The sequence below is a fragment of the Homo sapiens genome, chromosome 6 (genome assembly GCF_000001405.40).
Source record: "Homo sapiens chromosome 6, GRCh38.p14 Primary Assembly".
Lineage (NCBI taxonomy): Eukaryota > Metazoa > Chordata > Mammalia > Primates > Hominidae > Homo > Homo sapiens.
Genome location: NC_000006.12, coordinates 151,643,549 through 151,656,179, shown reverse-complemented (window position 1 = coordinate 151,656,179; position 12,631 = coordinate 151,643,549). Strand labels below are relative to the sequence as shown.

At 40.0% G+C, this 12,631-nt stretch overlaps 1 annotated feature.

Moving 5' to 3' along the window:
- Nucleotides 7,004-7,570: an enhancer, noted in NCBI's record as "H3K27ac-H3K4me1 hESC enhancer chr6:151969745-151970311 (GRCh37/hg19 assembly coordinates)". NCBI's record gives its function as "activates a minimal SCP1, AML or CMV promoter by ChIP-STARR-seq in primed H9 embryonic stem cells {active_cell/tissue: H9 hESC(primed)}" and the evidence as "EXISTENCE:reporter gene assay evidence [ECO:0000049][PMID:30033119]".

Genomic DNA, 12,631 nt, shown 5'->3' with positions numbered 1-12,631 from the left:
GGTCACTGTTAATTGGAGAATTACAAATTTTTTAAACTGTGTGCTATCAGGTTTTAAACATTTATGGTGGTGATAATGTAGGAAGTAGGCATTCTCAAACACTGCTGGCAGAAGTATAAAATATTCCTAGAGCAATATGACTTTATTCAAAATCTTAAAATACTCAAGGAAAAAAAGAGCTTTTCTTCATCTACAGTTCAAAATAATATAGCTTAAAACTATATTATTCCTAGGCCTATGTATAACAAGACGTCTTCAAAATGTTGCCTTCTTATGCATGAATATTATGTAATTCTACTTATTTAGATCTTCTTTAATATTTCCCAAGAAAATTTTTCCTCTAAGAAGTTTTTCTACATCTTATGTTAGATTTATTTTCTAATGTTATTGTCTTTTTTCTGGTATAGTGAAATGACATTGACTTTTGTATATTAATTTTATATCCAGCCCTCTTGCGGAGCTCTCCTACAATTTCTAATAATTTGCCTGAAGATTCTTTGGAGTTTTTTCATGTAAACGTGTATATCATCTGAAAATAATTAGTTTCATTTCTTTCTTTTCAATCCTTATATCTGACTTTATAGTTCTCCCAATTTTTGTCATATATATTTTGAGGCAGCTTAATTGGGTATGTATACATGTTTAGAATGGATATTTCTTGGTGAATTGAAACTTTAACCTTGTGACTTTCTCTATTACTATAATGTTTTTTATCTAAATGTGAGCTTTATCTGATACTAATACAAATGCACCAGCTTTCCTTTGTCACTCTGTGGATATTTCCATCTTTTTATTTTCTGGTTTTGTGTATATGCTTTAGGTATGTTCACATGAAAAGCATATATCCAAATTTTTAAAATCTCATTTAATAGTTCCTTTCTTTCAACTGGCAAATTTAACCTATTTATAGTTATTGTGATAGTGATATATTTACACATCTTTGGACTATTTTATTTTACTGTTTCAATTTGATTCAGGATTTCTATTTCTTTTTAATGCCTTCTAATTCTTAAAAGTTCTGTGTTGATACCTTCCCCCAGCAAGTCAAGAATTGAGCCCGATCTCACGTCCCTTGGCTTTCTCCCATGTTTTCATCAACCCCCTTAATGTTGATACAATCTGGAATTTTAAGTCTGAATAATATTAACGAAGTTTTCCTTTTTGTATTCTTTGGTATTTCTCATATTTTTATGTCAACAAACTTTACTAAGTCAAGTGACTATCTTTATTTCAAAGCATCTCATGTGTGTGTGTGAAGGTGGAAAGTCTTGGGTACCAAAAAAACCAGTTGATTATTCCCTTCACCATGAAATACCCACTCCTGTCAGTGCTTCATTTCCAGCTCCCGGCAGCCTGGCAGCATTAGAAGGAGATTTTGTTTTTTTGTTTTTTTCCTCTAGCTCATTTTTTTTCTTCAACTGCCTACTGGCAGACAGCTCCTCACTGCCTGGACTTCACCTCTGAGAACGGCCTTCTGGGCTGCAGCTCTGGGGGCAGGCACCAAGTGTCCTGGGGCAAAAGCCGAACTCCAAAAACTCTATCTGATCACTCCACAGCCACACCTGAGGCCTCTGCCCCAAGCTGCAGCCACCACCCCAACACACACACCTACACACTAATGCAAAACAATTCTCACAGATTTTTCCAAATCTTGATGTTTTCCTTCTATAATTTTTCCCTATGTGACAGATGAGAACCAGTAGTCTTAGCTAGTTCAGCATCTTGTAAGAACTCAAACCTTAGAAATGTGTACGTATAAGAATATACCTCACTGAATCTTTATAATATTAAAACATCGTTTTTATTTTTTAAAATCCCTGAGTAGGGTTTTTAAGAAATAGGTTTGATATATTCATAGGATAGAAAACAATGTAGCCATTAAATTACACTGTAGAAAAAATGTCAAATGATGTGGGAAAATAATCTTGATATACTGATAAAGGAAAAAAGTCAGTTTACAAAATAGGATTACAGTATGACTTGAGTTCTCGTTATAGATATATACAAACACATGTTTACACAAAAATCAATATTATAGAGCACGTATTAAAAAAATGCCAAACAGGCTGGGCGTGGTGTCTCACACCTGTAATCCTAGCACTTTGGGAGGCAGAGGCGGGCAGATCACTTGAGGTCAGGCGTTCGAGACCAGCCTGGCCAACATGGTGACACCCCATCTCTACTAAAAATACAGAAATCAGCCAGGCATGGTGGTGGGCACCTATAATCCCAGCTACATGGGAGGCTGAGATAGGAGAATTGCTTGAACCCAGGAGGTAGAGGTTGCAATGGCACCACTGCACTCCAGCTTGGGTGACAGAGCGAGATTCTGTCTCAAAAAATAATAAAATAATAAAATAAAATAAAAAGCAAAAGCAGAATAAAGTATGTGGTTCTGTTAATAGTATTTTACCGGTGTCAATGTCCATATTTTAATAATGTACTAGAGTTATATAAGATGGTATCATTGTGGGGAGCTGGGTAAAAGTTACATGGCAATTCTGTACTGTTTTTGTAACTTCTTGTGAGTCTAATTTTATTTTAAAATAAAATGTTTAAAAGTATACATGGTAACAGACTTTCTTTGGGGAGGGGAGGTAGTTCTGCTTAGCAGACATACCTCCTTTATGACACCCCTTGATTCCTTCTGGAGAGGAAGAGAATAAAAATTATCCCACTGTGAACAGACAGACTTGAGGGGATTCTAAATCAAGGCGCTTTCGTATTTCCAAGCCAAATGCATCCACAGGGTCTATCACAGACGACTTCAGCAAGAATATTCCTCTCATAGCCAAAGTATAGGGATCGGACTCAAGCTTGTCCAATCAGACCCTCTCTCCAGGGACTTTCTATCTTGATTAGAGATGCAATGAAGGAAAGATGCTCAGAGGCGATTTGTTCCCACCTGGGCAGATAGCTTTTGTTGCCCAAATTCCAGGGTATTTTTAATTGACAAATAAAAATGTATTTATGAATCATGTACAACATGATTTTGGACTACATACACATTGTGAAATGGCTAAATAGAGCTAACTAACATACGCATTATCTCACATACTTATTTTTTTAAGTGAGAACACTTAAAATCTACTCTCTTAGCAACTTTCAAGAATTCAATACAGTCACAATGTTATTAACTACAGTCACCATGTTGTACAATAGATCTCTTGAATTTATTCCTCCTGCCTAACTGAAATTTTGTATGCTTTGACCGATATCTCCTCAACTCCTCCTTCCCCAGCCTCTGGTGACCACCATTCTACTCTCTGTTTGTATAAGCTCAACTTTTTTTAGATTCCACATATAAGTGAGAATTTGCAGTATTTGTCTTTCTGTGCCTGGCTTAATTCACTTAATGTCCTCCAAGTTCATTTTAACCTGGTCTTCCAATTGTTTGTCATTCTATGATTTACCAAGCACCAGTCTGAAATATTCCCTTTTTGTTTGAGTTAGCCAAAGCCAGAAACTAAAAACCATAACTTAATAAATGATGTCTTATCCATCCCCATTCCAAAACAAAGATTTCAGTGAACTTGTCCTAATGTGAACTCCCTTCAAGTTAGGGAACATGGGTGAATAGTTGGAATATTTGTCCCGTCCAAATCTTGTGTTGACATGTCATCCCCAGTGTTGGAGGTGGGGCCTGGTGGGAGGTGTTTGGGTCATGGGGGCGGATCTCTCATGAATGAGTTGGTGTCCTCCTCATGGTAATGATTCAGTTCTCACTCTATTAGTTCATGCAAGAGCTGGTTGCTTAAAGGAGCCTGGCACCTCCTCCCCCACTCTTGCTCCCTCTCATGTGACATGCCTGCTCCCTCTTTGCCTTCTGCCATGAGCAAAAGCTTCCTGAAGCCTCCCCAGAAGCCAAGCAGAAGCTGCTGCCCTGCTTGTATAGGCTGCAGAACTCTGAGCCAAATACACCTCTTTTCTTTATAAACTACCCAGCCTCAGGCATTCCTTCATAGCAATGCAAAACACACAATACAATTGGTCACAGACTCTTATCTCTTAGAGTGAAAGCTCAAATTAAAAAATTTCTCAACTCCGCCAAAATTTAGTAGCAGATTCTTCTTATTTGTTTCTCTTGGGTCTCTATACTGATAACTTTACCAAGAAGTTTTGACTACCAGATCAATTTTGGTAGCCAGACAAGCTTTATGATTATCAGTTTTGCCTCAAGAAAATTCTCTACCAACATTTAAAACTTCTGCTGAAAATTCCCTGGAATTTTACTTAAGCAAATGAAGCATCCTTTTTTTTTTTTTTTTTTTTAACAAATCAGGAAAGTGAATCACAGGTAAGACTATAGACTTTGGAATCAGAAAGACCAGATTTGAAGCCCGTTTTCACGGTGTGCTGGGATTCAGAGCTTGTGCAACTTACCTGATCTCTTTGAGCTTCTCTTTCCTCCTTCGAGGTGATCCAATTAATTCTTGTGGATTATTTGGAGTACAAAATAGGAGTTTCTGTACTGCTCCTGAAACTGTCAGCACAGAGCAGACACTTATCAAACCCTTGACTATGCATCAGACAGAAGAAGGACAAGGAGGAAAAAAAGGAGAAGGAGACAGAGAAAAGAAGGAAGAAGAAGAAGAAGAGGAAGAAGAAGGAAAGGACCGGGTGCGGTGACTCACACCTGTAATCCCAGTACTTTGGGAGGCCGAGGCAGGTGGATCACTTGAGGTCAGGAGTTCAAGACCAGCCTGGCCAACATGGTGAAACCCCATCTCTACTAAAAATACAAAATTAGCCAGACATGGTGGTGCACACCTGTAATCCCAGCTACTCAGGAGGCTGAGGCAGGGGAATTGCTTGAATCTGGGAGGTGGAGTTTGCAGTGAGCCAAGATCACACCACTGCACTCCAGTCTGGGTGACAAGAGTGAAATAGTGTCTCAAAAAAAAAAAAAAAAAAAAAAAAATTAGCTGGGTGTGGTGGCATACACCTGTAATCCCAGCTACTAGGGAGGCTGAGGCACGAGAATCACTTGAATCTGGGAGGTGGAGGCTGCAGTGAGCCAAGATCATGCCACTGCACTCCAGCCTGGGTGACAGAGCAAGATTCCATCTCAAAAGGAAGAAGAAGAAGGAGTGGATGAAGGAGGAGGAGAAAGAGAATGGAGGAGAAGGAGAAAAGAAGGAAGTAAAAGGAGAAGGGAAGAAGCGAGGAGAAGGAGGAGGTTGGAGGAGGAAGAAGAAGGAGGAGAGGGAGGAGGAGAAAGATAAGGAGAAAAAGAAGGAATGAAAAAAAGAGGAGGAAAGGGGAGGAGAAGAAGAAAAAGAAAAAAGAGAAAGAAATGATGGTCCTCCCTCTCCCATAAAGACCAAGGAACTTAAAATGCTTTAAGTTTTTAAATTGTCTCATATACATTATATTTGTTATCATCATAGCAGACACATGAAACAGATAAAGCAAGTATTATTTTTCCTGCTGTAGTAAGAAGAAACTGAGGCTTCATGCCAAGTTAGGGGCAGAATCAGGCCCAGAACCAAAGTTTCCACCCAGCATCTGTAATTCTCTCTGCCTGGTCCACATTTTGTAGAACATTGGTAGGTGACACCTATAACTGGCTAGTTTAGAAACATCTCCCTCCCATGCCAAAAACAGGATGACTGCAACTCATACTACAACCTGAACAAACCTTTCACTATGCAAAAAAGTTAGGACATTTTATTGATACATAATAGTTGTACGTATTTTTGGAATACAATCAAATGTATAGTTCAAAATAGCTAGATAAGAAAAGAACTGGGGAGGCTGAGGCAGGAGAATGGCGTGAACCCGGGAGGCGGAGCTTGCAGTGAGCCGAGATCCCGCCACTGCACTCCAGCCTGGGCGACAGAGCGAGACTCCGGTCTCAAAAAAAAAAAAAAAAAAAAAAAGAACTGGAATGTTTCCAACATAAAAAATCAGGAGTTTTTAAAATATGTGCATGAAAGTAATCAATACTAAAATCATCTCCTTGTTTAGTCATAAAATAATGGCAGATATACCTAAAATATTTTCAGATTACTATGGTTTTACCTAATGAACATAAGCTGCAATGTTGCTCAACGGAGACTGCATATTATGTGATATTTCTGAGCTACACAAGCTTTCTAATCAGCACAGTCATTTGCTTGTGTGACAGTCACATGCCAGGATGAAATCTGACTTCTTAGTGCTCCTCTGTTAGAGAAAAGATGGCCTTGTTAAAAATTACCTCTCCAAGGTTCCGGTGCAGTGGTTCATGCCTATAATCCCAGCACTTTGGGAGGCCGAGGTGGGCAGATTGCTTGAGCCCAGGAGTTCGAGACCAGCCTGGCAAAATTGTGAAATTCTCTCACTATTAAAAACAATTTTAAACCTTAGCTGGTGTGGTGGTGCGTATCTGTAGTCCCAGCTACTCAGGAAGCTAAGGTGGGAGGATCATTTGAGCCCAGGAGGTCAAGGCTGCAGTGAGCTGTGATTGTCCCACTGCATTCAGCCTGGGCAACAGAACAAGACCCTGTCTCCAAAAAGAAAAAAAAAAGAAAAAGAAAAAGAAAGAAAGAAATTACCTCTCCATATTGTTTTTTTGTATTTCAATTATATCCCTTTTAGGGTAGGGAGAACAAATATTTCTTTTTTTTTTTTTTTTTTTTTGAGACAGAGTCTCGCTCTGTTGCGCAGGCTGGAGTGCAGTGGCGCGATCTCGGCTCACTGCAAACTCCGCCTCCCGGGTTCACGCCATTCTCCTGCCTCAGCCTCCTGAGTAGCTGGGACTACAGGCGCCCGCCACCACGCCCAGCTAATTTTTTATATTTTTTAGTAGAGACGGGGTTTCACCGTGTTAGCCAAGATGGTCTCGATCTCCTGACCTCGTGATCCACCTGCCTCGGCCTCCCAAAATGCTGGGATTACAAGCGTGAGCCACCGCGCCCGGCCAGAGAGAACAAATATTTCTAGCAAATGTATCCTTGTAGAGATCATAGATCATCATCACGGATGGGAGGCAAAACTAGATGGCAGCTTCGACTCGGACGCACAGAACAGCGTGCAGAGGCTCACATTGTGAATTTCAGCTCCAGAACAACTGCAGGAATAAACCAGGAATCCCAGGAGGACCCACAGACCCTCTGAAGGAAGCGGACTGCTCCTGCTGGACCCAGGAGACACCCCAAATTATGTGAGTGCCCCAACTGCGGAAGTGGGAAAGGGAGATCCTCCGCCCTGGAACGCACACCTCCTATGGGGAAACTGAAGTTCTAGTTTGCAGGAGAAGATTCTGACCTTATCTGGAGCTGAGTCAATTTAGATAGACAAGCAAAACACAGGGATAGAGGAAGCAGCTGGAAAGGCCTGGGGAGCTCGCTGGGTCCCCAAGCAGGCCACTCCTGCCTGGCATCACAAGGATCCTTCAGGAGGGTGGCCAGAGGCACGGCGGAAACACCACAGGAAGAAGGAAGTCTCCAGCTGAACTTTGTAACAATTTGAACCGGTCAAGAAGCCTCCTGGCCATAACACGGGGGAGGGTGCGAATCCTGCGTGCAGACTCCACAGGCTGGGGAAGAACTAAAGCCCTTTTCTTTTGCCACTGGGAGGTGGGCAGACTGCGGCAAGTTCTCAGCCCTGCTTACCCCCTGCCTGGAAACAGACTCAGAGTTGTTAGCGGGGACACAGTGGGCGTGAGACCACCCCTTTGGATTGCGCAGGAGCTGGGTGAGGCTGGTGACTGTTGGCTTTCTCCCACTTCCCTGACAACCTGCATGACTCCGCAGAGGGAGCCGTAATCCTCCTAGGTACACAATTCCATTGACCTGGGAACCTCACTCCCATCCCCTCACAGCAGCCACAGCAAGACCTATCCAAGGAGGGTCTGAGCTCAGATCAGGCCTAGCCCTGCCCCCACCTGATGGTCCTTCCCTACCCTCCCTAGTAGCTGAAGACAAAGGGCATATATTCTTGGGAGCTCTAGGACCCCGCCCACTGCCAGTCCCTCTCCACACTACCATAGCTGATGCTGTCTGTAAAGCGCCACCTCCCGGCAGAAGGCCAACCAGCACAAAAATAGAGCATTAAACCACCAAAGCTAAGAACCAGGGATCCGTTTCACCCCTCTACCACCTCCCCCATAACAGGTGCAGGTGTCCATGGCGGAGAGACACACAGACAGTTCACACCACAGAACTCAGTGCCAACAACCCGCAATACCAGCTCACAGCCTGGTAGACTTGCTGAGTGGCTAGACCTGGAAGAGAGATAACCATTACTACAGTTCGGCTCTCAAGAAGCCACATCCATAGGAAAAGGGAGAGAGTACTACATCAAGGGAACACCTCGTGGGATAAAAGAATACGAACAACAGCCTTCAGCCATAGAACTTCCCTCTGACAGAGGCTACCCAAATGAGAAGGAACCAGAAAACCAAATCTGATAATATGACAAAACAAGGCTCTTTAACACCCCCAAAAAAATCATACTAGCTCACCAGCAATGGATCTAAACTGAGAAGAAATCCCTGATTTACCTGAAAAAAGAGTTCAGAAGGCTAGTTATTCAGCTAATCAGAGGCACCAGAGAAAGCCAAACCCCAGTGCAAGGAAATCCAAAAAACAATAGAAGAAGCGAAGGGAGAAATAATCAAGGAAATAGATAGCATAAAGAAAAAACAATCAAAACTGCAGGAAACACTGGACACACTTATAGAAATGTAAAATGCTCTGGAAAGTCTCAGCAATAGAATTGAACAGTAGAAGAAAGAAATTCAGAGTTCAAAGACAAGGTCTTCAAATTAACCCAATCCAACAAAGACAAAGGAAACAGAATAAGAAAATATTAACAAAGCCTCCAAGAAGTCTGAGATTATGTTGAATGACCAAACCTAAGAATAATTGATGTTCCTGAGGAAGAAGAGAATTCTAAAAGTTTGGAAAACATATTTGGGGGAATAATAGAGGAAAACTTCCCCAGCCTTGCTACAGACCTAGACATGCAAATACAAGAAGCACAAAGAACAACTGGGAAATTCATTGCAAAAAGACCATCACCTAGGCACATTGTCATCAGGTTATCTAAAGTTAAGACAAAGGAAATAATCTTAAGAGCTGTGAGACAAAAGCACCAGGTAATCTATACAGGAAAACCTATCAGATTAACAGCAGATATATCTCTCAGCAGAAACCCTACAAACTAGAAGGGATTGGGGCCCTATCTTTAGCTTCCTCAAACAAAACAATTATCAGCCAAGAATTTTGTATCCAGTGAAACTAAGCATCACATATGAAGGAAAGATACAGTCTTTCTCAGACAAACAAATGATGAGAGAATTTGCCACTACCAAGCCACCACTACAAGAACTGCTAAAAGGAGCCCTAAATCTTGAAACAATTCCTGGAAACACATCAAAACAGAAACCTCTTTAAAGCATAACACAGGACCTATAAAATAAAAATGCAATTTAAAAACAAAAAACCAAGGTACACAGTCAACAAAGAGCATGATGAATGCAATGGTACCTCACATTTCAATACTAACATTGAATGTAAATGGCCTCAATGCTCCACTTAAAAGATACAGAACTGCAGAATGGATAAGAATTCACCAACCAACTATCTGTTGCCTTCAAGAGACTCACCTAACACATAAGGACTCACATAAACTTAAAGTAAGGGGTGGAAAAAGACATTTCATGCAAATGGACACCAAAAGTGAGTAGGGGTAGCTATTTTTATATCAGACAAAACAAACTTTAAAGCAACAGCAGTTAAAAAAGACAAAGAGGGATAGTATATAATGGTAAAAGACCTTGTCCATCAGGAAAATATATATGCATCTAACACTGGAGCTCCCAAATTTATAAAACAACTACTAATAGACCTAAGAAATGAGATAGATAGCAACACAATAATACTGGGGGACTTCGATACTCCACTGAGAGCACTAGACAGATCATCAAGATGGAAAGTCAACAAAGAAGCAATGGATTTAAACTATACCTTGGAACAAATGAACTTAACAGATATACACAGAACATTCCATCCAACAACCACAAAATACATATTCTATTCAACAGTGCATGGAACTTTCTCCAAGATAGACCATATGATATGTCATAAACAAGCCTCCATAAATATAAGAAAACTGAAATTATATCAAGCACTCTGTCAGACCAGAGTGGAGTAAAACTGGAAATAGACTCCAAAAGGAACATTTGAAACCATGCAAAGACATGGATATTAAATAACCTACTCCTGAATGATCATTGGGTCAAAAACGAAATCGGATGGAAATCAAAAAATTATTTGAACGGAACGACAATAGTGACACAACCTATCAAAACCTCTGGGATACAGCAAAGGCGGTGCTAAGAGGAAAGTTCATATCCCTAAACATCCACATCAAAAAGACTGAAAGAACACAAACTGACATTCTAAGGTCACATCTCAAGGAACTAGAGAAACAAGAACAAACCCAACCCAACCCCAGCAGAAGAAAGGAAATAACCAAGATCAGAGCAGAACTAAATGAAATTGAAACAACAACAAAAAAATACAAAAGATAAGTGAAACAAAAAGCTGGCTCCTTGAAAAGATAAATAAAGCTGATAGACGATTAGCAAGATTAACCAACAAAAGAAGAGAAAAAATCCAAATAACCTCAATAAGAAATGAAATGGGAGATATTACAACTGACACTGCAGAAATACAAAAGATCATTCAAGCCTACTATGAACACCTTTATGCACATAAAGTAGAAAACTTAGAAGAGATGGATAAATTCCTGGAAAGATACAAACCTCCTAGCTTAAATCAAGAAGAATTAGATACCCCGAACAGACCAATAACAAGCAGTGAGATTGAAATGGTAATTTAAAAATTACCAACAGAAACAAGTCCAGGACCAGACAGATTCACAGCAGAATTCTACCAGACATTCAAAGAAGAATTGGTAGCAATCCTATTGACACTATTCCACAAAATAGAGAAAGAAAGAGCCATCCCTAATTCATTCTATGAAGTCAGCATTACTTTAATACCAAAACCAGGAAAGGACATAACCAGAAAACTACAGACCAATATCCCTGACGAACATAGATGCTAAAATCCTTAACAAAATACTAGCTAACTGAATCCAACAACATATCAAAAAGATAATTCACCATGATCAAGTGGGTTTCATACCAGGGATGCAGGGATGGTTTAACATACACGAGTCAATAAATGTGATACACCACATAAACAGAATTAAAAACAAAAATCATATGATCATCTCAACAGATGCAGAAAAAGCATTTGACAAAATCCAGTATCCCTTTATGATAAAAACTCTCAGCAAAATCATCATTCAAGGGACATACCTCAATATAATAAAAGCCATATATGACAAACCCACAGGCAACATAATACTGAATGGGGAAAAGTTGAAAGGATTCCCTCTGAGAACTGAAACAAGACAAGGATGGCCATTCTCACCACTCCTCTTCAACATAGTAGTGGAAATCCTAGCTAGAGCAAACAGACAAGAGAAAGAAATAAAGGGCATCCAAATTGACGAAGAGGAAGTGAAATTGTCGCTGTTTGCTGACAATATGATTGTTTACCTCAAAAACCCTAAAGACTCCTCCAGAAAGCTCCTAGAACTGATAAAAGAATTCAGCAAAGTTTCGGATACAAGATTAATGTACACAAATCAGTAGCTCTTCTATACACCAACAGTGACCAAGCTGAGAATCAAATCAAGAACTCAACCTCTTTTATGATAGCTGCAAAAGATGAAATAAAATGCTTAGGAATATACCTAACCAAGGAGGTGAAAGAATCTGTACAAGGAAAACTACAAAACACTGCTGAAAGAAATCATAGACGACACAAATGGAAACACATCCCATGCTCATGCATGGGTAGATTCAATATTGTGAAAATGACTGCCAAAAGCAATCTACAAATTCAATGCAATCCCCATTAAAATACCACCATTCTTCACAGAACTTGAAGACACAATTCTAAAACTCATACGGAACCCAAAAAAAGCCTGCATAGCCAAAGCAAGACTAAGCAAAAAGAACAAATCTGGAGGCATCACACTACCAGATTTCAAACTGTATTATAAGGCCACAGTCACCAAAACAGCATGGTACTGGTATAAAAATAGGCACATAGACCAATGGAACAGAATAGATAACCCAGAAATAAACCCAAATACTTACAGTCAACTGATCTTCAACAAAGCAAATGAAAACATAAAGTGGGGAAAGAACACCCTTTTGAACAAATGGTGCTGGGATAATTGGCTAGCCGAATGTAGGAGAATGAAACTGGATTCTCATTTCTCACCTTATACAAAAATCAACTCTAGATGGATTAAGGACTTTCAGACCTGAAACTCTAAAAATTCTAGAGGATAACACTGGAAAAACCCTTCTAGACATTGGCTTAGGCAAGGATTTCATGACCAAGAACCCAAAAGCAAATTCAATAAAAACAAAGATAAATAGCCGGGACCTAATTAAACTAAAGAGCTTTTGCACCGCAAAAAGAACAGTCAGCAGAGTAAACAGACAACCCACAGAATGGGAGAAAATCCTCACAATCTATACATCTGACAAAAGACTAATATCCAAAATCTACAATTAACTCAAACAAATCAGCAATTTTAAAAAATCCCTTCAGAA